We start from the raw sequence: 26,602 nt of genomic DNA, 5'->3' as shown, positions 1-26,602 counted from the left end.
GTGTTTGTCTTATCATCAGTCAATTTGTCTGAACTGAGAAGCTCTGTCTTGAAAGATCCAGGTAAAGTACTTTGGTTGTGGCTTTGGTAAATCAAGAAGTTTGTTTTAACATTTACAAATTCTGAAAACACTGATGTCACACCTGTATTATATCATCTCCTAAAGCAACTAAGGCTTCGCCTCTTTATTTTCCTTACCTGAGAGTGGCCATTAATCTGAGAAGCTATTCTGGCAGAGACCATATCAAGTCAGTAACAGGAACTATTGTTACTCTGATAATTCCTTTTCCTTGAGTGATTACCACCTGCAAGGATGTAATTTAAAAGATGGAAAAGGTGACATTCACAACCACTCCTGGTAAATTCAAGAGAAAAAATGTAATTCCAATCAGTCTATCAGTATTATGGAGTTAACACCAATCTCTTTAGTGCTTGGTAAACCAACTGCTACAATCACTATGAATCATTCCCTCGCTGCCTACTATAAACCTTAGCTGCAAAACCTAAAAATCTCTTCCCTTTTATAAATGGCTTCTTTGTTCCATAACCAATTCAAACTGGACCTAGAGACTAGGGCATTTCTGAACTATTTAGCTCCCAGTTTGTCACTTGGTGATACCACTGGACATAACCGTAATTTGTATTTCAGTGTACCAAGTATGTTTTAGTGTGTCAGTTATCTTTATTATCAGTAGTACAACTTATCAACTCAAATATGCAACCTCCTGCCTCCCAGTACCCAGGATCTTCCACTCATTTAGTAATTTATAAATAAATACTTACTCAATGGTAGAAAATGATTATTCCAGTATCACATCCTCTATTCTGATCATAGGACACTGTAAAACCTGATCAACTGAGGTCAACATCCCAAGAAAAAGAGTAACTTCTATTTCAAATGCCTTGATATGTAATGAGCATGGACTGTGATTCACTACAACTTCCTTCAGTATATAGGTGGCCTTACAAGGCCTTTCATCCCATCCCCACTTCCCTTCAGATAATGTGACATAGCAACATGAGAAGCAGGAGGCCATGTGTGAAGCAGCACAACCACTTAAACCCCCGGGTCATGAAAACATTATTAACCAACACCAGTCAATGCACAAAGTGAAAGTTAGATAGCAGAAAACCTTTTTATCCTAAGAATTAAAGAGAATATGATTTGAATCAACTGCTTAATAGGCATCACCCTCATCCACAGTAACTTAAGATCTCATCAAAATCAACAGGCAAAAAAATATATACAACAGTACCTCACAGTTTAATTGCTCTATGCATTTATTATTAGCTATTATTAATGCAGAATGAGGGAACAAAAAGCTCACAAACACTCTACACAATTTCACAAGACGCATTGCAGGGGAAAAAGTGACTGAGATGGATCAACAGTATGCTAAGGTCTTGGTGGACGCATTCCTGGGGGAGGTGGACCTGGAAAGGAAATAGAAACATTGAGAAAAAGAGGATACACATATTCAGGGGCCTGGCTGAACCATCAAACCCCTATGCTCCCACTCACCTCTAATGCCTGGTGGAGGGGGTCTCATTCCCGGAGGCGGCATGCCTATTGGCGTCCCTCGAGCAGGGGGAAGCCCAATTGGTGGGCCCATGGGTGGTCTCATACCAGGTGGAGGAGCCATAATGCCTACAGTGAAAAATGGTAGAAATAAAGGCCTCATAAAATGGCTTAGAAAAGTTAGAATTTAGCCCAAATAATCCCTAAAGAAATGGGCCAGACAACAATGATAGAGTCAAATAACTTCTATATGACAATTACTCTTCTATGTCTTTCATTAAAAACCAGTATCTAGAAGAAGGAAGCATATTCCCCAAATTCTTAGGCTCTCAGGCTGTGTCTTAAATCAGTAAGCTATCTCTCATCAGAGATTCAAGTTCGTCTTCGTGTTCACCAATCCCTTACCTGGAGGTGGGGTTGCTCTGCCGACGGGTGGGGGCGGAGTGCCCCGTCCTGGTGGGTACTGTGTTGGGGCTCCAGCAATACTGGCAGTCGCAGCAACAGCAGCAGCTGCTACAGTGCCTCTTCCCTGTGGAGTCATTACCTGAGAAGGCAGGGCGGGAAACAGTCAAAGCGATGCAAACCTTCACATTATTCAAACACAGAAAATAAATGAGAAAAATGACCAATTAGTTACAAACAACTGTTGCAATGTACTTCTCTCATTATTCCCATGTTTTTTTTTGAGACAGTTTCACTCTTGTCACCCAGGCTGGAGTGTAATGGCGCAATCTCAGCTCACTGCAGCCTCCCACTCCTGGGTTCAAGCGATTCTCCTGTCTCCCTGCCTGGTAGCTGGGATTACAGGCACCCACCACCACACACAGCTGATTTTTGTATTTTTAGTAGAGATAGGGTTTTCACCACGTGGGCCGGGCTGGTGTCGAACTCCTGACCTCAAGTGATCTGCCCACCTCGGCCTCCCAAAGTGCTGGATTACAGGCGTAAGCCACTGCACCCGGCCTATTCCCATATTTTAAAAACTAATCTTAGTACACTGACATCCAAAAAGCCCTTTGGTCTTTTCAACTGTGGTATATCCATGCATTCTGTTCACTCACCACTAGTGGCAAGTTACTCTTGCCAAGAGTAACCTGGGTAACTTTAATCACCCAATGACCATTTTAAGCAGCTAGTTTTATTCCCTTCCTCCCATATATCTGTGTTTTGGTTCCTCCTAAACCATATGCTGTTTACATTGTATGACACATACACTTAGGTTTTTAAATCTCCTCGGCCTCCGGCTTAGTCATATTCTCCCAATAATATAAAACCCTCTGCTGGTTCCTCACCTGCTGGGATGGTCCCCCAACTCCTCGGACAGGGCCTGCCAATCCAGCAGGGGCCTGGGGAATTGGCACACCAGCTGGTACTCCTCTACCAGCTGCCCTACCAACCCCAGGGCCTCCAGCAGCTCCAGCAAGTGGTACCCGAGCAATGCCAGTCTGAAACAAGAAAATTCATAGCCTAAAATCAAACAATTTACAAGTTCTCAGTATTCTTATTCATCAGAGATCACTTCTCTCCACCATTTTCCCATGACACCTATCTCATATTAGTTCTGTGTCCAAATGAACAAACAAGCAAGTATACCATGGAGGTATCTTGTGTATAAAATGCACATTATTTGTCAAATTGTGAAAACACCTCTTTTATAAACATACCAAGCAAACATGAATCACCAACTCCTACCCTTACCTAGGTAATGCCCAGCACATAGAATAATTCACCAAAAATCCCCTAATCCCGAATAGCATAGGCAACCAACAATTGATATTAAGTGCCTGGCACATTTTATTTGACAATCCATGTTGAACTGTGTCTGCTCTACCCTGATTTCAGACATCTCACATAATATGATGTCCCTGCAAATTAAAGTTCTGTCCTGCCCTACATCTTCCTTACATCTTTGGGGGGTGGCCCCTCCACAGTCATGGATACCAAGTTCTCCCCACGCAGCAACACCAGACCCAAAACCCGCTTTTCTTCACGCTCTGGTTGCTTCGCATTCTTTGGCCTACAAATCAGAATTAAATTTTAGTGAGATAAATTTTAGTGATCACTCACTCATCAAAATATTTATACAACCTCAAGTATCAATTAAGACAACTGATGCTAAACATTTACTGAGTTATCACTGAAAAACAAGCCAAAAAATATCTGTAAACACAGTTAATATACAAGGGTAAATAGTGAAGCTATTTTCTAATCTAACTTTAGTCTTTTACAGAATGTTCCTTTGATGTTACACTACAACAAGACTAATTTCTTTTGTGAAATACCTTTTAAGAAAAACAAAATTGAAACCTGGGTTTCCACATTAAAATGGAAATTTCTTTAAAAAATTACTTAAATAATTAAATCATAATGACAGGTGACACAGAACTGAAATAATGGGAACAGTGATAGGCAAAGAGAGGATACCAAATGGCAACCATATCCCAACTCCTCAACCATGAAGAACAACTGTTCTTCTCCATTTCAACCAAGATTTGGTCTAAGACTGCTGCAGAAGCCAACCAATTAATTAATATAGCATTTTTCTCAATTTTAAAAATAAATACGAGTATTCTGACCATAGCATATACTTTTACTCCCAGTAATAAATCCATGATTGTTTTACAAACTTAAAAGAGTTCAGATGCAGACTCTGACCTAATTCAGAGATCAGGTCAAGAGGTTAAACAATAGACTGGCTCTACCATAGTTTCCCTAACTACTTCAGTTACCCTCGGAAATCCCTTACTCCAGCTCTGGCCTTCCCTTCCCACTGCCTCTGTGTCCAACCCCCATTTGCCCAAATCAGCCTTACTTGATCTTTCTGAACTCATCACAATCACAGAGGATCAAATTCATATGCTTGTCAAAAGCCTTAAAGGTGCCAATGAAGATTCGGCCATCTTGCAGGATACATCTCATTCTATAGTCAATGTGCTGCAGCATCTTGCTACTCTTGCCAACAGTCTAGAAGCAGTAAGACAAGAGTCATGTTCAGCTTGCCAACACCCTAGTCTTCTAATCTTCTCCTGTTTCTTCTCCACCCTTACATAATCTAAGCCTGGTTTCCTTAACTAAACAAATATTCTCTCCTTTTTCACCAACATTCTTCCATATTTAGTATGGCTCTTTGGAGGACCACAAAGGATTATGAAGTATTTTTTCACATCTCAAGAACCAATTTTCACCTCCTTACAGGTGATTATCCTTCTCTGTGACGATGCATGCTCTAAACTGTCCACTCCCCTAAGTAAACCAAACCACAATGATGTAGGGTGTTCTCTCTCTCCAGACTGCTTTTCTCTGTACTGTTAATGCCAAAACCCTTCCATTTTCAAAGCCCTCTTTATTTCTATTGTAATCTGACCTGAGAGTCCATCATCTGCAGGACAGTCCTTCACCACTGGTGGAATCATGACCAAAAACTCCTGTATTTTCTCACATCATGAAACATTTCTCATGGCCAGGCACAGTGGCTCATCTCATGCCTGTAATCCCAGCACTTTGGGAGGCCGAGGTGGGTGGATCACCAGAGGTCAGGAGCCTGAGACCAGCCTGGCCAACACAGTGAAACCCTGTTTCTAATAAAGAGGCTGAGGCACGAGAATCTCTTGAACCCAGGGTTGCAGTGAGCCAAGACCGCACCACTGCACTCCAGACTGGGAGACAGAGCAAGACCCCGTCTGAAAAAAATAAAAATAAAAAAATCAGCTCATCTTCAGCTGATACTCAATGCAATGAGAATCCATATCCATGGATGTATCCTTATTTCTAACATTCAGAACCCAAGATCACTGCACATGCTGGCAAACTATTTCTTTCGGCCCTTACAGCACATTTCAACCCTCAGCCTTATCATACAGCTTACCATGATTGCTGTTCCACCAAATCCAATGTCCACAGTTAAAACTTGATGCTTCTGAAGACCTAGGGGAAGGCTATAGATAAAGGTATGACGCAGGTTCTCCTAGAAACAATGCAAGCTGGGCAGAAGCTTCAAAGAGTAGATGGAGCCTGCAGAGGAAAGCATGTTAAAGCTGCACTGCAATCTACCATGTTTTAAAACAGGCAGACAATTTTGCATGAAAATCACTATGACAGACACGTTCAAAAACATCCTTCCTCTCATACTAGCTTCCTCACCAAGGGACTGCCACATTTCCCTAGTCCCTCATTCTTAACTCTCACATTTGACACACTTAGGACTGATGAAAGTCATTGAATTTTATTTTACCTAGTAATTCCTAAATGTTTCAAAAACTAAGCGTCATTTTCCCAAATTTAGTATTTTTCTTTCCATCCTTATTTAAGGTAGTGTCTCTCTCTCTAGTTCAGAATTAATATGAAGTCATCTCTGTATCAACATCTCAATTACTCTTTCATTCAGATTTTTCCTTTTTTCTGAAATACCTATGTTGTCATTTGCAATATTCTTTCTTCCCCTAAATTCGCTTCAAGATGATGGCAGGTAATCTTTCCCCACTAAGAGCCAAGTGTGTTATAAACCTGCCTAAGACTTCCCATGTCAAAAGAGAACACATGACTATGGAATATATATATATAGACTCACATAAACAACTTTCATAGATCAAGTAATGAAGGACAAAGTTATAAATCACGTTAACGGCCGGGTGAGGTGGCTCACGCCTGTAATCCCAGCACCAGGGGAGGCCAAGGCAGGTGGATCACCTGAGGTCAAGAGTTCGAGACCAGCCTGGCCAACATGGTGAAATCCCGTCTCTGCTAGAAATACAAAAAAATTAGCCAGGCATGGTGGTGGGTGCCTGTAATCCCAGCTACTTGAGAGGCTGAGGTAGGAGAATCGCTTGAACCTGGGAGGCAGAGGTTGCAGTGAGCTGAGATCGCGCCACTGCACTCCAGCCTGGGCAACAAGGAGGGACAAGAGCAAAACTTCATCTCAAAATAAATAAATAAGTCACGTAATGGGGACACATTAGGAGAAATGCATTTGGTGATTTCATCACAGTATGAACAGTGTACTTACACAAACCTAGAGGATACACAGAGTCTACTATACTCTTAGGCAATATGGTAGATCCTAGGCTACAAACCTGTATATCATGTTACTATCCTGCATACTATGAACACTCACAATACAATGTTAAACAGAGAAGAGGCTGGGTGTGGTGGCTCACGCCCATAATCCCAACACTTTGGGAAACCGAGGTGGGCGGATCACCTGAGGTCAAGAATTCAAGACCAGCCTGGCCAACATGGCGAAAACCCTATCTCTACTAAAAATACAAACATTAGCTGGGTGTGGTGGCAGGCGCCTGTAATCCCAGCTACTCAGGAGGCTGAGGCAGGAGAATCGCTTGAAACCAGGAGGCAGAGTTTGCAGTGAGCTGAGATGGCACCACTGTACTCCAGCCTGGGCAACAGAGCAAGACTCCATCTCAGGGTTGGGGGTGGTGGGGAAGAGAGAGAAGGCACAATGAAAACATGGTTTTGTAATCTTAAGGGACTGCTCTGACATATGCAGTCTGTTGTTGAACGGAATTGTTAATGCAGCTCATGACCGTAATCAAGCATGCATAATGTTTCCCTTTTCTCCATTATTTATAAAATGCTATTAAATATGGCAACCAAATCTAGCCAGAATTGTAAAGGGTCTTGAAGTGCTTATCATACTAATTAAAAAATGAAACACAAATTACTTTTGAAAAGGATTCAAAAGTATCTTTTTGAGCGGAGATCGCACCATTGCACTCCAGCCTGGGCAGCAAGAGTGAAACTCCATCTCAAAAAAAAAAAAAAAAAAAGAATACTCTAATGCCTGGCTGTCATTCAGTGGCCATGAATCTGATGTCTGTACATTAAAAAATGTATTAAATAAAACCTATAAAGATCTCAAAAGAACTTTTCAAATAAGCAAACAAAGACCTCCACAAAAATTAAATGTAGTTTCTGTCCTAAATATGAGTAAGAGTTTAAGGACTATAACTTAGAAGTTTTGAATATTATCTTATGATTCTTTATAAAGCAGTCTAAATCCAAGAAAACATGGTATATGAGACTCATTAGCAATATCCTTTTTTTTTTTTTTTTGAGACAGAGTCTCACTCTGTTGCCCAGGCTGGAGTGCAATGGAGTGATCTCGGCTCACTGCAGCCTCCACTTCCCGGGTTCAAGTGGTTCTCCTGCCTCAGCCTCCTGAGTAGCTAGGATTACAGGCGCCCGCCACCACACCCGGCTAATTTTTGTATTTTTAGCAGAGAAGGAATTTCGCTACGTTGGCCAGGCTAGTCTCGAACTCCTGACTTCAGGTGACCTGCCGGCCTCAGCCTCCCCAAGTGCTAGGATTACAGGCATGAGCCACTGCGCCCAGCCAGCAATATCCATTTTTATAGCACTGCAACACTTGGGACCTTCAGCCATCCAAAGAGACAACAAGGATCATGACTGTGAATGAGCAAGACAGATCTTACTGTGGTGATGAAAATGTTTCCAGAGTAGTTCATGGCAATGATTGCACAGTTCTGTAAATTTACTTAAATCATTGCTTCATGCACTTAAATTGGGTGAATTTTATGTTTATCAGCACTACATCACTAAAGCCGTTTTTAACCCATTTATGCCAGAGGTTGGAATTTTTTTGTGAAAAATCAGACCTTGGCAATGACCTTGAGCAATAGGATATAAATAACTCCCACAAGCTTAGCGGTCCAGAGGTATGAAACACATCTAGGGATGTGAGTTATGGCCCAAAGAACTGAAGACCTAGAGAATTAGGGACAGATTATTATTTTATATTTATATATATATCATAATATAATAATAACCTGTATAGCTAGAAGAGATATATGTTTTACTCACAATAGGAGTTGACCTCCTACAGCAGTTAAAAGGATTCCCTTAAGAGACAGATTTGGAATTTAGAAACAGTTCTCTCTCATCCCTAAATGTGATACAATGTAGTCATGACCTTGTAAGTGAAAGAAGAAAATAAATCACTGCAGAGTGGTCAAATTTATCTTTACAGCACAAGAAAACAAAACTTCATGAGAAAGGCGACGAGAGTAGCAACATCACACTGCAAGGATGGATGAGCAGTCATAGTGTATCTTCTGAGATCAAAGGGCACATAAGCAAATTAACGAACTGGTATCCCTCACAGAAGCACAAGTTTTCAAACTTTAGGAAACTGTAGACTTTCAAATGATTAAACTACATAAAAATGTAAATCTACTTTAATTCAAAAGTAAAATAAGATGACTAGGGTTGGCCAAAGCACACATAGCAAATAGTAAAATAAGATGACTAGGGTTGGCCAAGGCACACATAGCAAATGAGACACACCATGGAATATCAGTATTGATCTGTTAAAATTTAAAATTATAGAGGGTCTCCATAGAGATCCTCCATCGAAGAGTATGCAAAAACAAGTGACAAAAGAAAACTAAATGCAAAATATTAATACACAATAATTCCAATTAAAAACACAAGAAAACAAATTTCCTTTATTGGAAAGGTTTATTTAACAAAAACAAAAAAACACCAGAATACAAAGGGTGGTACTGAGAAACTAATGGTCTACTAATTTTTAGTGGCCATCAGCACTTCTCATGATGTGTTTAGAAAACAATGTAACAAAAACGTTTAAAAGTCATACTAATATTACACCCTGCATCCCAACTACTAGGTAGGTATCCAGTTGGATATGTACCCTGGTAAATATTTAGGTACCAAAGAAAAACAGAATATTCATAACACAATTTTTTTTTGAGATAGAAGTCTTGCTCTGTCACGCAGGCTGAAGCGCAGTGGCACAATCTCTGCTCAATGCAACCTCTGCCCCTAGGGTTCAAGAAATTCTCCTGCCTCAGCCTCCCGAGTAGCTGGGATTACAGGTGTCCCCCACTACACCCGGCTAATATTTGTATTTTTAGAACAGATGGGGTTTCGCCATGTGGCCAGGTTGGTCTCGAACTTCTGACCTCAGGTGATCCACCTGCCTCAGCCTCCCCAAGTGCTAGGATGACAGGCGTGAGCCACCACACCCGGCCACATTAATAGTTTATTTTCTTATTTTTCCTGGCCATCGTGTGCCTTACATTTTTAATGAAAACGGGTACGAAGTGTTTAAATGTTGTTAAAGACTACCCATCTTCCTCCACAGCAGACTTTAACATGACTCTTAGACTGATCCCTTCCCCAAGAAATTCATCTGATTGTCTACGCTGTAATGTATACTTCGTATATACTTCTATAATCTATTCTTTATCACCTTCTATGACATTATGACTATATTGACTGGCCCCCACTTTGGTGTTTTCTTCTTTCAATCTGCTCCTCTAAAATAAAACTCAGCCAATTATTTTCTTTTAAATAGCAAGATACTAAGTATTTTAGGCTTTGCCTGTCATTCAATCTGTCACAACTACTCAAAGCTGCACCACCGTAGCACCAATGTGGCCAAAGATAACATAATAAATGAACTGAGTTGTGTTCCAATAAAATTTCATTTATAGACACAGGTAGTGGTCCAGATATATTACCAACCCTTCTTCTACAGGAATACTAGTAATGGGTACTATTTAGGTAGAACTAGCAGTTGAGACTAGAATAAGATATAATTAAGTATCATAAAATTAGATGGTCCTACTTGCAGACTATAATGTATGACTTAAATGTTGTATTTAAAAATTTACAAAAATCTGTGAACTGAACTGAGAAGCTAAAAAATTCCTAAAAAGTAAAAAATCAGTTGTGCACACCTATTCAATGAAAAATTCCCTTACTCAAGGGAAAAGCTTTGGACAATGATTAGATTCCAATTTGCTTATGCAATTGCTAGAAAATGTTGTGTATAAAGGATTCAAGAAAGGAGGATTTCTCAGAAAATTTCTGTCTCCTTTGATTTAAACTCAAAATGGGCCGGGCGCGGTAGGTCACGCCTGTAATCCCAGCACTTTGAGAGGCCAAGGCAGGTGGATCACCTGAGTTCAGGAGTTTGAGACCAGCCTGGAGAACATGGTGAAACCCCGTCTCTACCAAAAATACAAAAATTAGCCAGGTGTGGTGGTGGGTGCCTATAATCCCAGATACTTGGGAGGCTGAGGCAGGAAAATCAGTTGAACCTGGGAGGCAGAGGTTGCAGTGAGCCGAAACCATACCACTGCACTCCAGCCTGGGCAACAGAGTGAAACTTCATCTCTAAATAAATAAATTAATTAATAACTCAAAATGGTGGCCATAAACAAGCCTAACTGATTCAAGTTGAAGGATAATACTTCAAAAACAGACTTAAAAAAAGGCTAGAAGGAATTTATCAGTAAACCCAATTCCTCTCTGCTCTTACTTTGTAAAAAGTAAATAGTAAACTCTCAGAAATGAGGGCATTCTAAAACTTAAAGTAGAAAAAAAGAAAAATCACAGAGGAAAAACAAGAAAACAAATCAAAATCGACTTTGTAATAACTTTTTCCTAAAAAATGAAAGCAACATAAAAAGAACTAAATAAATCTACATCACATTGAAAAATTATGAATAATATTTTTATTACATTGTCTGCTGATTCAAAGAGGAAATACATTGGTTAAAACAGAAAAGTGAGAAAAAGACAAAACAAAAAGGAATTAGTAAATAAGCATGAGAAAGTATTTAGATTCTCTAATACTCATTGTTAATTATGTGCTGTGTATTTATAATTCACTGACATAAACCATATTTGAATTAAAATAATGCTGTGAAAGTATGTTGTAACTGGCCCTTTATTTTTCGAAAGCAATGAATACTAATTTAATACTTTGCAATATAATTTAGAAAAATGTACCTTAAGTTCATATTCCTTGATTCAATTTATTTTCACATCTGCATATTTGAAAAAATTATTCTAAGTTTTATACAAAGCTATCTACTAAAGCTTTGTTCAAACTACTGGCAGAAAAAAATGACACCTCCCACAAAAGGAAATTATAAACATTCAGTAACAGGGTATTCAAGAGCCATTTATAGTGAAATATTTTTATATAATTAAAAAAAACGCAAAAGAAAACTACCTGAAAAGCATGCGCTACAATAACTGGAATACAGAAACATGACGAAAGTGTCAGGGCAGAAAATTTAAGGTCCTGCAAAACTTTCTAAAACTTTCTGCAATGTGTTTATTGTATGAAGCTCTAAGGAAAAAAATTAATGTGTCACTGATAATTAAGAGAACCCCCAACACCCCATTCTTTAATGATTCTTTATTCTTGATCATTGCTGCATTAGCTCTAACCTGGTTTTTGCTTGGAATCAGATTCCTCGCTACTCCAATATGGCTTTAACCACCTCTTGGTGTCTCAGCTAAGAATGCCTGCCTCAGTTCAGCCTGGAAATCCACCACAGGTACTTGCTGCTGCTGAGAACGCCTCGGGTACAACTGACACCTACAACAAGAGCACAATATATATAAATGATAAAAATACATTTGTCTTTATAGGAAACCATATGAAAGAAAACTAGGTACCCTTACATTTAAGAAGATATTCCTTTTTTTTTTTTTTTTTTTTCCAGACAGGGTCTCATTCTGTTGCCCAGGCTGGAGTGCAATGAAGCAATTTCTGCTCACCACAAACACTGCCTTCGGGGTTCAAGTGATTCTCCTGCCTCAGCCTCCCAAGTAGCTGGGATTACAGGCACCTACCACCACACCCAGCTAATTTTTTTTTTTTTTTTTAAGACAGAGTCTCACTCTGTCGCCCAGGCTGGAGTGCAGTGGCACGATCTGGGCTCACTGCAAGCTCCGCCTCCTGGGTTCACGCCATTCTCCAGTGTCAGCCTCCCGAGTAGCTGAGACTACAGGTGCCTGCCACCACTCTCGGCTAATTTTTTTGTATTTTTAGTAGAGATGGGGTTTCACCATGTTGGCCAGGCTGATCTGGAACTCATGACCTCAGGTGATCCACCCACTTTGGCCTCCCAAAGTGCTGGGATTACAAGCGTGAGCCACCACGCCCAGGGAAGAAGATCTTTCTTTAGGGTCAGAGGATGACACTATCTTATGAGAAATTATAACACAAAACAGGAATCTCTACACAGAGATTGTACAAGGGACTAGTGGATACTTAAGATACTTACCAAGTCTAGAAATATTTCCAAAAGAACTAAAAACACAAGAGCTGGCAGCCTTGAAGAAACACCATCAGTACCATATATAGTCACTCACTTTCAAATTATCCTGTGTGAACAATCCTTTCTCCCCAGGGGTGAGGGGAGGGAGATGCTGCTAAAGCATTTGCAGGGAGATGTTTAGGCCGTCCTTCATATTGATCCTCCTGACAAGTCACTACCTGAAATATAGAACTTCCAGGGCTATTTAAGGGCTCTTAAAATATGTAAACCAATCATCTACTGGTAAGCAGGGAATTCCAGACAAAAGCCCTCGACATACCCCTATGAATCAGTAACCTGGCTGTGAAATCTGATGATGAGAAGGAAGACATACAGGAAATGACAGCTTGCCTTGAGGTGAGGAGCTGGGGGATCACCAACAATGCTGCCCTTGTTGGCATGTAAGGATTTGGAAATTGGACTTTTTTCTATGGTTTTTCAGTAACATTTTAAAATTGCTTCTGTATAATAAAGAATTTAACTGGCCTTTGCTCCTGGTTCCTGGGAAGTAACCTATACATCCTATACATCCTTGGAATTTACCCAGTGAAAGAAATGTGTTTGTTACTCAAGGTGGGTCCCTAGGATCACACCTGAGTTCTTGGTAATGAGATGTCTCAAGATGGTGACTAACCAGGCCACAAAAGATCAAACAAAGACTAAAGGGTTGGGGTTTTGAGCAAGCCCTCCTGGGAGGGCAGGAGAGTTGCTGACTGAATTCAGTGACATGTCCAGTGATTCAATCTTGTCAACATAATGAATCCCCAACAAAAATCATCGACATCTGGAGTTCTGGTGAGCTTCCTGATTGGTGATATACGCTAATGTGCAGGTAATGCATCCTGAGGACAGGGAAGATTTGTGTGGGACCTGCCCAGATTTTGCTCTATGCATCTGTTCATTTGTATCCTTTATAAAAAAAACTAGTAAGTATAGCACTTTCTTGAGATCTACTAGTCATTTATAAAACCTTAGTCAATTATAAAGTCTGAGAAAATAGTAGGACCTCAGAATCTATAGACTGTTGGTCGGAAGTGTGGGTGCCCTGCCAACCCTGGAGCTTGGAGTTGGTGTCTGCATTGAGGGGAATGTTCTGGAGGGCATCTAGACAACTGTGAAATTTGCACTAACTCCAAGTAGTCAGAATTGCACTGCACATACCTCTAAATCTTCACACTCTAATTCATAGTCTACTTTATACTCTAATTCATAGTCTAATCACTGAATAAATAAATCTTAATTTGGGCATTCTCCACTCTAACCTCTGTTTACAAATGACAACTAAGTTTCTGATTATTATTCATAAAGGTCTAAAAAGTGTTTCAGTAAAAAAAAATATATATAATGTTATCTTGAAACGTAAGATAATTCTCTATTGCAATGTCCCCCTCAGATCTAACCTGTAACCCAATAGAAGATTAAAGACTGAGAAAATGAGGCAGCCTACACAGAATTTAATTCATAGAGTGCAGAATATTAATTTGAAAAGACATGTGAAGCTTAGCATAAAATATATTAAGACAACTCTCCAGCTCCAATTTCCAATTTCCCTTCGAACTCACGATACATCATCCAGCCCCAAAGAATAAGAGCTAATTTAGTGACAAATACACTGAAAGACAGAATAAAAAATTTAAAATAAATCAGTGAACTTTTTATTTTTACTTTATTTTGAGATGGAGTCTTGCTATGTCACCCAGGCACAGCCAATGGCACCATCTCGGCTCACTGCAACCTTTGCCTCCCAGGTTCAAGCGATTCTTCCACCTCAGCCTCCTGAGTAGCTGGGATTACAGGTGCACACTACCACACCCGGCTGATTTTTTTATTTTTCTAGAGATGAGGTTTCACCATGTTGGCCAGGCTGGTCTTGAACTCCTGACCTCAGGTGATCTGCCCACCTTCGCCTCCCAAAGTGCTGGGATTACAGGCGTGAGCCACCGCACCCAGCCTCCTTCATTGATCTTTAGGGCTAATAACCACACAACTCCTCCAGGAAGACTGCCTCCCAATACTACTTATGATTTGGTAGGAAGTAGGAGATGAATGGGTAAATATTGAACACTTCTAGTATAACATTCTAAGTATACCAATCCTGAGAATCCTAAACACATGGACAATGAGGCAGTGTTAACCAATCCTGCTTACCCATTCCATAATCCAATTACTCTCAAAATGAAAACGCACAAGGGGGAAAAATTATACTATTTCCCTAACTCTACACTTTACTCAGATCATTCCCCCAACTCAAGACCCTGCAGTATTTGTACATATATATGCAGTGCAGATAAGAAAAACTCAAGTTATTTCTTCTTCAAAACCATCAAAATGTTTCCATAAATATGGACAAGATGCCTAGAAGGCTAACGTCATCCCACAACAAGATGAGGATGAGACTACCTGTTATTTAGTCCACACTGAGGTTACATAGGAAAAAAACTGTAACAAAAATATAGCAAGATAGAACCTTCACCCACTTAACAGTCCTAAACCTAAGAGTCCTAAACCTCAGCCCTACCTCCACCACCATCTCTGAACTACCTCTAGAAACTCAGGGAATAGTAATGGCACTTTAAAAAAACGTCAGAGCTGCAAAAGAATGAAGGGAGAGGCTGGGCGCAGTGGCTCACACCTGTAATCCTAGCACTTTGGGAAAGAAACCAAGGCGGGCGGATCATCTGAGGTCGGGAGTTCGAGCCCAGCCTGACCAACATGGAGAAACCCTGTCTCTACTAAAAAAATACAAAATTAGCCAGGCATGGTGGCACACACCTATAATCCCAGTTACTTGGGAGACTGAGGCAGGAGAATCACTTGAACTTGGTAGGCGGAGGTTGCACTCCATCCTGGGCAACAAGAGCAAAACTCCGTCTCAAAAAGAATGAAGAGATGAAAAAAGAGATTTCATATCAAATAAAATGAATGATCGAATAACCTATTATATATAAAGGACAAATTATATTACACAAAATACTTTCAAAATATTTACCAATATACAAACAAAACGTACATAAAATACGTCTTCCAAAGCAATTTTAAAAAATGAAAATGTACTTAAATATACTCACTATAGTAAAAATCGGCAAAATAAATAGGAAAAAATAAAAAAAAAATCTTTACCCTCACCATAATTTAAAACTTGCTAACAGATGTTTTACAACTTTTTTTTTCTTTTTGAGACTAGATCTCATTCTGTCACCTAGACTGGAGTACAGTGGCACAAACATGGCTCACTGCAGCCTCAACCTCCTGGGATCAAGTGACCCTTCCACTTCAGCCTCCCAGGTAGCTGAGACTACAGGTAGACAACACCACGCCTGGCTAATTTATTTTTCTGTAGAGAGGAGGTCTCTCTATGTTGCCCAGGCTGGTCTCCACCTCCTGGGCTCAAGTGATCCACCTCAGCCTCCCAACATGCTGGGATTAGAGGCATGAGCCACCACATCCAGCTCAACTTTTCACATATAAAATGAGGAAATAACAAAAGACACACAAACTACTACTCAGTTTTTACTATGAGGAAAAACCTTTAATTTGAAAAAAATAAAATAAATTAGTATTCATACACTGCATTTTCTTTTTTTTTTTTTCCTGAGATGGAGTCTTGCTCTGTCACCCAGGCTAGAGTGCAGTGGTGCCATCTTAGCTCATTGCAACCTCCGTCTCCTGGGCTCAAACAATTCTCCTGCCTCAGCCTCCCAAGTAGCTGGGATTACAGGCACGTGCCACCACACTCGGTTAATTTTTGTATTTTTAGGAGAGACGGGGTTTCACCATGTTGGCCAGGCTGGTCTCGAACTCCTGACCTTGTGATCCGCCTGGCTTAGCCTCCCAAAGTGCTGGGATTACAGGCATGGGCCACCATGCCTGGCCTACACTGCGTTTTCAAAGTGACTGTTCTTTTCATTGTTAATAGCCAAACAATGCAAACAAACTAAATATCCAGCAGCAAGCTAACGATTACAATAATAATGTTATCACACCACGCACACTTTGTAAAATAAGGTAGATTTATGTGTACTGATATGAAAAGATCACCAAGACATATTGTCAAAATACAGACAGCACGGTGTCGTATGCACACAAACTTCAAATGTGTCCCATGTCCTCCCTTCCTCTCTCCCCACTACACACACAATGCATAGGACAAGGTCTGATGGCTATTTACTTAATGATTATCTCTGGGGAGGAAAAGGCCAGTTAAGTTGGTAGTTGCTTTAAAATGAGACTTACTTTTTATGCAAAACTGTTTTACAAAAAGAATCATCTTCATGAATTTTTAATACTTATAATTAAAAAAAACAATTGTAGCTAAGAAAAAAATGCTACCTACTGATCAAAATTTTAATGGCATCAAATTTTAATGCCATCAAAATTTTAATGGCAATGACAAAATGCCAAAGTTTCAATGTGGACTAAATATGTATTAGGTCATTTAAAATGTTCACCTATTTTTAATTAAAATTTCCCTTCTAGAAATCTAAATTAAAATATGTGTCTGAGTGTGTCTGTGTATACATCCTATATATACATTCCACATATATATACTTAAAACAGGATAAAAAACACAAATGTATTTTAAATTTTAACAGAATAAATGCACTAACCAAAAACAAACACCTAAATATCACAGAGCAAGAATGAATATGTAAATTAATCACTTCAGCGCACAGTACATTTTGCAAGCATACAAAGTGATTTAATAATGCAGAAAAATTTAAGTATGCTTATGTTGAAGGGTAATTACAAAATTTTATAAAGATAAAATGCACTTACCCACGTATAGGAAAAAAGAAAATTATACTAAAATCTTTAAGAGGGTGAATTATTTTAGGATAATATGGTTAAGAATTTCATTGCTTTTTTACTACATCTTCTGTATTAGATGTGTCTGCTTCTTCAATTATGTTCATTTTAATCCCCTCATTGCATGATATTTTGTTCTAATCTGAAAGGAGATTCTGACTTGCATTTGTTCCCAACACAGTCTGTACTCACTCTTGGTTGCTCAGTGAGGCAGTCCTTCTGCGTTTGACTTGGACTTCCACCTCTGGTACGTGCTGTTCTGTAGTTCGTCTCAGGTGTAAGCGATCCCTGAAACAGAAAAGAGAGGCATTTGTTTGGTAGACTGCATCAATCTATGAAATAACTATTTGTCAAGGTTATATTTAGAACTACATTTAATATAATGGATTTTTAAATCTAATTAAAACAAGGTAAAATTATTACAAGATCTTTAACCTTCAAACAGTCATAATCTATGCTATAACCACTTTTTTCTCCTTTTAGAAGCCCATGACATCAGAAAATCTGGTTTTAAAAAAAATCAGAAAATGAAATTAAAATAATATATCTACCTCTATTTGTAGTCACGTACATATAAAATTCCCACTTATGCAGATGTAGATACATACATACCACCACTACCCTACTCACCTTCCCCCCAAAAACAGTAAACCTGATTTCCAAAATGGTTTCAAAAAATATTTTTAGGATACAGTAGACATACTTATATAGTGGAATAGAACATAGTTTAAATTATAAAATATCTACTTTAAAAAAACATGCAAATGGTGCTTTCTTTAGGATTTGCAAAGCAATAGAAGAGCTGCTCAAGCTAAAAACTATCCACATAGCAAAAACAAACAAACAAACAAAAAACCCGCCATGTTACGTCTGCAGAACCCCTCATAAAATGGCTGCTCAAGGGAACAGAACATGAAATCCCACACCAGACTAGCCATATTAGGGACTGCAGAAACCACCTATGAACCTTTAAAGATGATAAATCAGAAAGGTCAGCAGGACCTTTCACTAAAGTAACACAAGTAATATCTCAAAAGCAAAATTCAAAGATACATGCCAAAAGCTATTAATAATTCTCTGAACCCTAGATGTTTTTAAGTCATGTTAGACTTTTAGATTGGTAAAATAGCTTACCAATAACGCACAGCTGTTTTATTCTTTCAAGAGTTTAAATGTTCTAATCAAGCCATACACACATATTTGATTTCTAAATGGTAAAATTTTATACACTGATAATGTTTATTACTTTTGATTACACAATGGTCTATTAAATATAACACCTGAATTACAAGCAGTATAAAAAATAAAGTGGACTTCATCAAAAAATAAAGTTCCGAAAACACTAAAGAAAGTGAAAGGATAACCAGAATAGGAAAAAATATTTGCTTAACATACAGCTAAGTTTCTAGTATCCAAAACAAACAAAAAGAAAATCCAAACAATGAAAAAAAAGAAGGTAGGGAGAGGCAAAGAAACTTTTTCAGGTGACAGACACATTTATGCCACTAATTTTGATAAGAATGATTTCAAAGGCATGTACTTATCTCTTAGCATATCAACTTTTAACATTAACTATCTACAGCTTTTGTATGTCACTCACACCTCAAAAAAGTATTTTTTCAAGTTTGGTATCCAGAATATGTAAGGAACTCTCACAACTCAACAATAAAAGGGCAAATTCTATTGCTACGATGGGTAAAACACTTGAATAGACAGTCCTCCAAACACATACAAGTGGCTAATCTATATGAAATGATGCTGAACATTAGTCACTAAAAAATGCAAATCAAAATCCCAATGAGGCAGGGCGCAATGGTTCATGGAAGGCTGAGGCCAGCGATCACTTGAGCTCAGGAGACCAGCTTGGGCAACATCTATACAAAAAAATACAAAAATTAGCTGGGTGTGGTGGTGCATGCCTGTGGTACCAGCTACTCAGGAGGCTAAGGTGAGAGGGCGCTTGAGCCTAGGAGGCAGAGGTTGCAGTGACCTGAGATCATGCCACTGGCACACCAGCCTGGGTGACAGAGCCAGACCCTGCCTCAAAATGAAAAAACCCCCACTGAAATGCCACCATCTGACACCACAATATTTGTAAAGGATGTGGGGAAACTGCTGGTGGAAACATAAAGTGTTATATATAGACTTTGCCAACTTCCTAAAAATGTTAATCATGAAAGTAACATATGACACTAACTCTACTGCTAGATGAAGTAATATTACAAGACCCAAACTCAGCCTCCAAAGTAGCTGGGATTACAGGCATGCACCACCACACCCAGCTAATTTTTGTATTTATAGTAGAGACAGGGTTTCACCATGTTGGCCAGGCTGATGTCGAGCTCCTGCCCTCAGGTGATCTACCCACCTCGGCCTCCCAAAGTGCTGGGATTACAGGCATGAGCCACCATGCCCAGACAGTTCATGTTCTTTCTATTATACCTGCAGCCTTCCCAGCTACCACTACTCTCATACTTCCAAAAAGACAAAATTTCAAGAACCTGGCATATACGAGGGCTAAGTAAAACCTTGTGAAACTAATTCTTTGTATTAAACGTATTATACGTGTTCCTAGTAGCATTATTCATAATAGCCAAAGAGTGGAAACAACTCAAATGTCCATCAACTTACGAATGAAGAAAATATGATATATCCAAACGAATGTCTTTCAGCCATAAAAAGGAATTTAGTACTGATCAGTGCTACATTATGGTGGGCACACAAATACAGCTAATAATGTAGTACCTTAATATAATACAATTAAAGAAACTATCAACTAAACCATGATTAATCTAATAGTGTACAACTGCAAACACTGTCTTACCAAAAAACAAAAAGAACCCATTCGGCAGTTGCTCAATATGAAAGGTCTGAGGTCAACTGAGGAAATAGCCATCAAACCAAAATATTCTATTATTTCAACTTTCTGAATTTACCTTTTTTTAAATGTAGAGACGGGGTCTCAATACCCAAGCTTGAACTCCCAGGCTCCAGTGATCCTTCTGCCTTGGCCTCCAAAAGTGCTGGGACTATAGACATGAGCCACCGCACCTGGCTTAAATCTACTTATTTTTAATCTACATATAAAATGTCATCTATAAGATTTTGAAAACACTACTTTATTGAATGTTCTAGATACACACACACATGCATTTATCTAACTGCATCCCCAACACAGAAACCAACATTTTATGAAACTGAGGACATCATGAAAAAATCATCATATAGAAAGGGTGTTAAATGTTTGCCCTCAGATCACTTACACTGAAAGTAATAATCCGGAAATATATTGAAAAGCAAAAAGCAATGGAATCCCAATTTTATTACGGCCTAAATTTTCCATAAAATTTAACTAAGATCTCAAGAATAAAAATAAACAAAGTTGGCCAGGTATAGCGGCTCATGGCTGCAATGCCAGCACTTTGGGAGGCCTAGGCAGGGGCACTGCTTGAGTCCAGGAGTTCGAGACCAGTCTGGGCAACATAAGGAGACCCCTCTCTACAAAAAAATAAAAAGTTAGCTGGGCACAGTACCTCAAGCCTGTACTAACAGGCACTTGGGAGGCTGAGGCAGGAGTCTAGATTGATCCAGGAGTTTGAGGTTACAGGGAGCTATAACTGCATCACTGCACTCCAACCTGGGCAACATAGCCAGACCCTGTCTCCTAAAAACAAAAAAATAAGGTTAATGATAGGCTGCTAATCTGTACCCCATGAATATAAGAAACCTCATTGCCTCCAAAACAAATCTGAGGAGAATTAACAAAAAGAGAATTTGGGCCAGCCACAGTGGCCAGAGAGAGACTGAGGAGGGAGAGGATATAGCTTGAGTCTAGCAGTTCGAGTTCAGCCTGGACAACATAGGGAGACCCTGGTCTATTTAAAAAAAAAAAAAAAAAAAAAAAAAAAAAAAAAACTTTGAGCCAGCTAGCATCCAGAAATGGAGAGAGGCTACCTTAAGTAGTAACAATTCTCACTCAAGCTTTCTGGCCCTGGGCCACAAAAAAAAAAAAAAAGGAGACAGGACCAGTGACAGGTCTAAATAAGATTTTTAAAACTTCATTGTCCAAGTAATTGAGGGCAGTACTCACAACCTGCTTAAATGATTCTTCCTAAAAAATAGCTAAACAGAGGGCGCTGATAAACAAAGGAGGTTATCTTGGCATCCTTGACACCTTATAAACAAAATTTTTTGTAAAACAAAGATGTTTATTAGGAAAAGGAACAGGGTAAGGGAAACATAAAGATACAGAGTAACTATAAATGTGGAAAACATTTCGGCAATGACACACTGGTCAGATAGAATAGTGAAATCAAGATAAGGCAAGGTCTGTGAATAAATCCAAATCAGTTAGTACCCTGCCTTAGACAACAACATAAGGGTCTCTCAACCAAGCTTCCTTCCTCTGCATCACAGGAAGGGCTGCCACTCCCTGCCTCCAAAAAGCCCTAGCACAGAGCCAATTCACTGAGTAGGACACAGACCTTGAAACTTCAAGAGGCCTTTCCAAAGGGATCTGCCATATTAGGATCCCGGGCCTGAATGCAAGACTACAAAATGGCGGATCAGACTAAATACTCAGCTTGCAAATAGCCAAATGACCAGAAGTTAAACCAAGAAATATATGTATGTGAACTGCTATCTTCATGCAAGCAGAAAAAAAAGGGTAAATTATAAATATCATATAAAATCCCAGACTCCTGCTATTTTTAAAACTACCCAAAAATAGATTATTCCAGAACAAGGCTTTTCGGGCTTCGTAGATTTAACTTTTCTGTTAATTACAACTCAGTGCAACCAGACATACCAGTTATGATAGAGGGAAAATGTAAATACAGAAAAGGCAAGCACTGAAAATCCTGCAAAGGAAGACAAAATCCTTAGAATAAAATGATTTTTTAAAAAAGTACTGGAATATAAAAATGCAGTTATTCATTAACCTTTCTCACCAAATTTTTGTAGTAGCTCCAACTTCAAAAATGATCATTAATTTAAAAATCCAAAAAAAGACAGTAACTGATCCAAAGCACAACCCCACCCCAATAAGATTGTCTCCACTTTTCTCTTTTATTCTCTTTGAGCACAAAACTTGCAGCTTTCAACTCCCAGAAGATGAAGAGGTCCAGTGTTTGAAACACCTTTCAACCTTAGTCGGGAAGAGCCATCACGATGTCCTCTCCCCCAACCCATTTAAGGAAAGTATGCAGTGCATCAGAATGGACTATCCAGAGATTAAGAAGGATAACTGAATCTTAAATGGTGACATTTATTAAATGTGTCGAATGGAAATCAAAGACTACAGGGAGTTAAAAAAAAGGGGTTAACAAGTCCAGTTTGAAAATAGAGAATTAGCGCACAATACAACCAAGAGAGGAACTACAAAAATGAAAAGGTACGATTTTCCAGGGAGTCAGAAAACCAATTTAAAATCTCTATCATTAATGGAGGCTTGCTGAAACAGCACAGCAGGTCTTGGGGTGGCTGCACCTTTGATGGCCTCCAGGCCGCCACCACTCTAGTTTACTGCAGAGCTGAAAAGCAGTAGCCCAGTGCAGCTGCCATCCCACACAGGCGGAGGTGGTACAAATGCCTGGCCTCTAGCCACATTCCCCTCCAGTCCTCTACTGCTGCACCGTGGGTAAGGGGTGGCTGCCAAGCTTGCTAGGCGGAGCCTGCGCCAACCCATCTCCCTCCTCCCCCCTCTACTGCGCCACAACCGGAAAGGAACAGCTGCTGTATCAGCCAGGTGAAGGGGAGGGCTGCCATTCCTTCCAGGCAAAAGCTGCGTAAGCCCTCGCTCCCCTGCCCCACGTCTCGCCCCACTGCAAGCGGAGGCGACTGTCACCTCTGCTGCGTCTGCGCAACCTGCATCCTTTCCCAAGCAGCACTTTGGGGAGGGGGCAGCCGCCCACCTTGGCCGGCTTCCTCTCCTTACCACTGCACCCTAAAGAGGGTACGGCTGAAACTCCGAAACAGCAGAAGCTGAACACACACCACCTGCCCCCTCCCCACTGGCGGCTCTACAGGGAGGAAGCGGCCACCCCCCCGCTGAAGCGCTTGCGCAGATCTAAGCCGCTGCAGCGGCGGCCATCTTGAAGGAGCTGCACAATGGCAGTGACGCAACACAGACCCCCAGGTTATTTCGACATAGCCTTCCAAGACCTGGTTCCCAACAGAGAGAAACAATGAAAAAAAAGTAACCCCCAGGCATCACCTGGCCTATCAGTCAAAAGATCTGTAAATGCAAGTTCTGCACATCATTCCAGTCTTCTTATGCCATAGCCTCTAAAGCGAGGGTTCCTAAAGGGTACGCAAGGATTCCACGCATTTCTGCAGCCCCTGCGGCAGTGTAGGCATTGCGCAGTTTTAATAAAAAAGCACCACCACCACAGTAGGCAAACCAGATGACCATCGCAGGTCACAGGAAAATTAAAGGCTGCGGACTGTGCTACTGCCCCTTCTGATGCCCCCTCCTCTACACAGCAATCATTCAGCGTCCCTTAGTCACTCCGGACAGCGACAGGCCCCGCGGCCGCCATGCCCACCGCCTCCATGCCATGCCCACCGCCGCCATGCCTACCGCCGCCAAAGTCCACCACCGCCATGCCTACCCGCTGCCAATGCCCACCGCCGCCAATACCCACTGTCGCCGCCTTCCCCCTACCTCCCAGCCACTTCCTACGGACTCTCCCCGCGCCGCGACCACCAACACAACCCCCACCACTGTCACACCGACTCATCCCCCTGGTCCACTGCCATAGCCTCCTCGCCTCGGTCACTGCGACGAATTCCCCCCCCAGTCGCCCCACGTACCCTGCTCCACCACGCAGTGGTCACTATTATACACCTACCTGCGCTCAACACCCCCTAAATACCGATCACTTCACGTACCTTCGCCCCGCCACAATCACTCCAATATACCTACCTCCGCCTAAAATCCCTATGCACTGGTCCCCCCACGTACCCTCGCCACACGGAACTGCAATCACCCTGATGTACCCACCTCCACCCATGTCCCTTGCCCACTGCGGTTACCCCGCATGCTCCCAGTCACCACCGCCCTTCCCACCGCAGACACCCGCAATAGGACCTGTCGCGACACCACAGTTGGGGGCGGATGGGGGACGCGCCCCAATGCGAGCGGACAGGATACCATCGGGGCAGAACGGCACAACAGCAAGCCTCTGAACATTCCGGATCTGGTTCTCCAGAACAAAGGACTTTAGGGCCCAAATTCCGTTTATTCAGTACTCCAAGTCCTAAAAACTTGGAATATCTGATGAATAAAAGTGGCCGCTCCCCAGGCTGTCTCTTGAGAGAAGCCACCGGCACAGCTGACCTTGCCCGCTCCATCGCGTCACTGACCGCTCCTCAGACAGATGCGTCAGGCATCTCCGGCGGCCGCTCCACTCTGCGCCAGACTCGCTGCAGCAGCGGCAGGCTTCGCACACATCCCCGCCTGAGCATGCGCGCCAGCCTGCCTCTGCGGCCGCGCAGGCGTGCTTGTTTGCCGCAGTGCAGGGGTCCCAGCTCCCTCCCTCACCGGAATGACCTGGGGGGAGGGGGCTACTGGACCCCTAGGGCCCCACAGCACTGTTGCAATGAGAGGGGGCCTCTAGAAACCATAAGCAACCTGGGATCAATGGACATGTCTACCTGTTTTTTAAAATGTGTAAAATACTAAAGAAATAATTCTTGGTTCTACAATAAATTTTTGCACACACCACTGGCCAAACAATCCTAATTTACACTCACCCTCAGGTCTTCCTATGTGCGGTACAAAAAAGCTGGTTTGGAAAAGTTAAATGCGCCATAACCACAATCAATGCAAATACGCCAGACTTGAAATCCTTCCAAAAGAAAATATCCCTAACTCTAAAAGCATGCTACATTGTTCAAATTTGGTGCGATTTTTCTACCCTTTTTCTACTTTCTACATTTTGAGGGGGTAAATTGTGAAAATTATCTCCCCCAAAATCACAATATAATTAAACTCTCCTATACGGAATGGATAGATCATTCAACTCAAAAACACTGGCTATTCAATTTTTGTAAAACAAAAATATGAACTTAGACCCCCACCTAAGATCTAAGTAGGAGAGCCTTTCTTTGCCTATTAGAATTGGATACATTAAAATTTTTACCAATAATCAATGATAGCTGGAGTGGGGAGAAACAGGCACTTTTATATAATACTAATGGACAAGTAAACATTATTTACGACATAATATTCTATCTGCAGAAATAACGGAAGCATCAGTAACTCCAAAATTTAGACGCTGATGTAGCTTGGGAAAAGACACTGCAGAAAAGAAGAAAATAATCCTGAAACTGCATCTGCATAGTTTTTACACACATTTGCCCTTTCTCAATTGCCCATTATCGAAGAAGGGAGGGTGATGTGAGTGGAGGTTGACTAAATGGTTAAATCCCCTCCCAAGCCCTGTAAGCTACTGCTCAGTTCCCAATGATCCTACATTAAAACAGGTGCGCAGAGGCTTATCAATGCTGACTTCTATCGTAACAAAATCTCAGAAACTGTGTAATGTTCCTCACAGAGAACAGATAGGCTAACTAAATAAACGTATATATAAATAATAACATGCAATATGGCTGATGGAAAAAATGATGTATTAGGCTGAATCATATAAAATTGTCAATATTGAATTGTTTTGACCTACAAAAACATTGCAATTTCTAATAGTTCATTGATACATATTCACATAAAATAACATGGGAAGTTGACTCTGATCACGGGAGTCAATCGAAAAATAAAATGTAGGCTGGGCACAGTGGCTTACGCCTGTATTCCCAGCACTTTGGGAGGCCGAGGTGGGCAGATCACGAGGTCAGGAGATCGAGACCATCCTGGCCAACATGGTGAAACCCATCTCTACAAAAAACAGAAAAATTAGCTGGGCGTGATGGCACATGCCTGTAATCTTAGCTACTCGGGAGGCTGAGGCAGGAGAATTGCTTGAACGTGGGAGGCGGAGGTTGCAGTGAGCTGAGATCACACCACTGCACTCCAGCCTGGTGACAGGGCAAGACTCCATCTCAAAAAAATAAATAAAATAAAAGCATACTGTATGTTCAGTTTTACACTGAAAAAATTATGAAAGAATACACACCATTATAGTCCAGTGATGAAAACCATGCCTTTG

The 26,602-nt window shown here is 40.8% G+C and overlaps 2 protein-coding genes and 1 long non-coding RNA gene across 116 annotated transcripts in view, besides 5 other annotated features; all 3 read right to left on the bottom strand.

Moving 5' to 3' along the window:
- Window positions 1-26,602, bottom strand: part of SNHG14 (small nucleolar RNA host gene 14) — a 595,855-nt gene that overhangs the window by 439,623 nt on the left and 129,630 nt on the right. The window contains exons 5-13 of the long non-coding RNA NR_146177.1: window positions 17,631-17,726; window positions 11,758-11,908; window positions 5,384-5,529; window positions 4,331-4,482; window positions 3,424-3,535; window positions 2,811-2,963; window positions 1,924-2,062; window positions 1,522-1,647; window positions 198-1,433 (exon numbers count right to left, since the gene is read on the bottom strand). This is a non-coding gene — a long non-coding RNA (small nucleolar RNA host gene 14). The remainder of the gene's footprint in view (window positions 1-197; window positions 1,434-1,521; window positions 1,648-1,923; window positions 2,063-2,810; window positions 2,964-3,423; window positions 3,536-4,330; window positions 4,483-5,383; window positions 5,530-11,757; window positions 11,909-17,630; window positions 17,727-26,602) is intronic.
- Window positions 1,117-24,853, bottom strand: SNURF (SNRPN upstream open reading frame). 3 transcript variants are annotated; one of them, NM_005678.5, is made up of 10 exons: window positions 24,778-24,853; window positions 17,631-17,726; window positions 11,758-11,908; window positions 5,384-5,529; window positions 4,331-4,482; window positions 3,424-3,535; window positions 2,811-2,963; window positions 1,924-2,062; window positions 1,522-1,647; window positions 1,117-1,433 (listed from the first exon to the last, which is right to left on the bottom strand). In NM_005678.5, exons 1-3 carry the CDS (start codon window positions 24,789-24,791, stop codon window positions 11,803-11,805), a joined length of 216 nt encoding a protein of 71 aa, NP_005669.2. In that variant the 5' UTR covers window positions 24,792-24,853; the 3' UTR covers window positions 1,117-1,433; window positions 1,522-1,647; window positions 1,924-2,062; window positions 2,811-2,963; window positions 3,424-3,535; window positions 4,331-4,482; window positions 5,384-5,529; window positions 11,758-11,802. The 3 variants fall into 3 exon arrangements, with proteins under 3 accessions (NP_005669.2, NP_073715.1, NP_001381263.1); NM_022804.3 differs by lacking the exons at window positions 1,117-1,433; window positions 1,522-1,647; window positions 1,924-2,062; ... (2 more) ...; window positions 4,331-4,482; window positions 5,384-5,529 and adding an exon at window positions 11,019-11,045; NM_001394334.1 differs by lacking the exons at window positions 1,117-1,433; window positions 1,522-1,647; window positions 1,924-2,062; ... (2 more) ...; window positions 4,331-4,482; window positions 5,384-5,529 and having other exon boundaries at window positions 11,019-11,908.
- SNRPN (small nuclear ribonucleoprotein polypeptide N) overlaps window positions 1,117-26,602 on the bottom strand; it is a 155,087-nt gene continuing 129,601 nt past the window's right edge. For 59 of the 112 annotated variants that reach the window (NM_022807.5, NM_022808.5, NM_001400637.1 and 56 more), the window contains 9 exons: window positions 17,631-17,726; window positions 11,758-11,908; window positions 5,384-5,529; window positions 4,331-4,482; window positions 3,424-3,535; window positions 2,811-2,963; window positions 1,924-2,062; window positions 1,522-1,647; window positions 1,117-1,433 (listed from right to left, as the gene is read on the bottom strand). In NM_022807.5, coding sequence (NP_073718.1) covers window positions 1,396-1,433; window positions 1,522-1,647; window positions 1,924-2,062; window positions 2,811-2,963; window positions 3,424-3,535; window positions 4,331-4,482; window positions 5,384-5,386 — 723 coding nt within the window. In that variant the 5' untranslated portion in view covers window positions 5,387-5,529; window positions 11,758-11,908; window positions 17,631-17,726 and the 3' untranslated portion in view covers window positions 1,117-1,395. Of the gene's footprint in view, window positions 1,434-1,521; window positions 1,648-1,923; window positions 2,063-2,810; window positions 2,964-3,423; window positions 3,536-4,330; window positions 4,483-4,882; window positions 5,199-5,383; window positions 5,553-6,085; window positions 6,398-11,757; window positions 11,909-12,687; window positions 12,812-15,404; window positions 15,504-17,617; window positions 17,727-20,374; window positions 20,516-20,971; window positions 21,103-23,350; window positions 23,541-24,528; window positions 24,854-26,602 lie in introns of those variants that run through there. The other 53 variants (NM_001400649.1, NM_001400743.1, NM_001400693.1 and 50 more) reach the window with 38 other exon arrangements.
- Window positions 22,741-23,306: an enhancer, noted in NCBI's record as "H3K27ac hESC enhancer chr15:25201681-25202246 (GRCh37/hg19 assembly coordinates)". NCBI's record gives its function as "activates a minimal SCP1, AML or CMV promoter by ChIP-STARR-seq in primed H9 embryonic stem cells {active_cell/tissue: H9 hESC(primed)}" and the evidence as "EXISTENCE:reporter gene assay evidence [ECO:0000049][PMID:30033119]".
- Window positions 23,003-23,052: an enhancer, noted in NCBI's record as "active region_9162". NCBI's record gives its function as "activates an Ori minimal core promoter by ATAC-STARR-seq in GM12878 lymphoblastoid cells {active_cell/tissue: GM12878}" and the evidence as "EXISTENCE:reporter gene assay evidence [ECO:0000049][PMID:35858748]".
- Window positions 23,307-23,872: an enhancer, noted in NCBI's record as "H3K27ac hESC enhancer chr15:25201115-25201680 (GRCh37/hg19 assembly coordinates)". NCBI's record gives its function as "activates a minimal SCP1, AML or CMV promoter by ChIP-STARR-seq in naive and primed H9 embryonic stem cells {active_cell/tissue: H9 hESC(naive and primed)}" and the evidence as "EXISTENCE:reporter gene assay evidence [ECO:0000049][PMID:30033119]".
- Window positions 23,323-23,482: an enhancer, noted in NCBI's record as "active region_9161". NCBI's record gives its function as "activates an Ori minimal core promoter by ATAC-STARR-seq in GM12878 lymphoblastoid cells {active_cell/tissue: GM12878}" and the evidence as "EXISTENCE:reporter gene assay evidence [ECO:0000049][PMID:35858748]".
- Window positions 23,873-24,438: an enhancer, noted in NCBI's record as "NANOG-H3K27ac-H3K4me1 hESC enhancer chr15:25200549-25201114 (GRCh37/hg19 assembly coordinates)". NCBI's record gives its function as "activates a minimal SCP1, AML or CMV promoter by ChIP-STARR-seq in naive H9 embryonic stem cells {active_cell/tissue: H9 hESC(naive)}" and the evidence as "EXISTENCE:reporter gene assay evidence [ECO:0000049][PMID:30033119]".

Source organism: Homo sapiens, chromosome 15 (assembly GCF_000001405.40).
Source record: "Homo sapiens chromosome 15, GRCh38.p14 Primary Assembly".
In the NCBI taxonomy this organism is placed as follows: Eukaryota; Metazoa; Chordata; class Mammalia; order Primates; family Hominidae; genus Homo; species Homo sapiens.
Note: the sequence above shows the minus strand (reverse complement) of the source record. Positions and strands in the feature narration are given on the sequence as shown.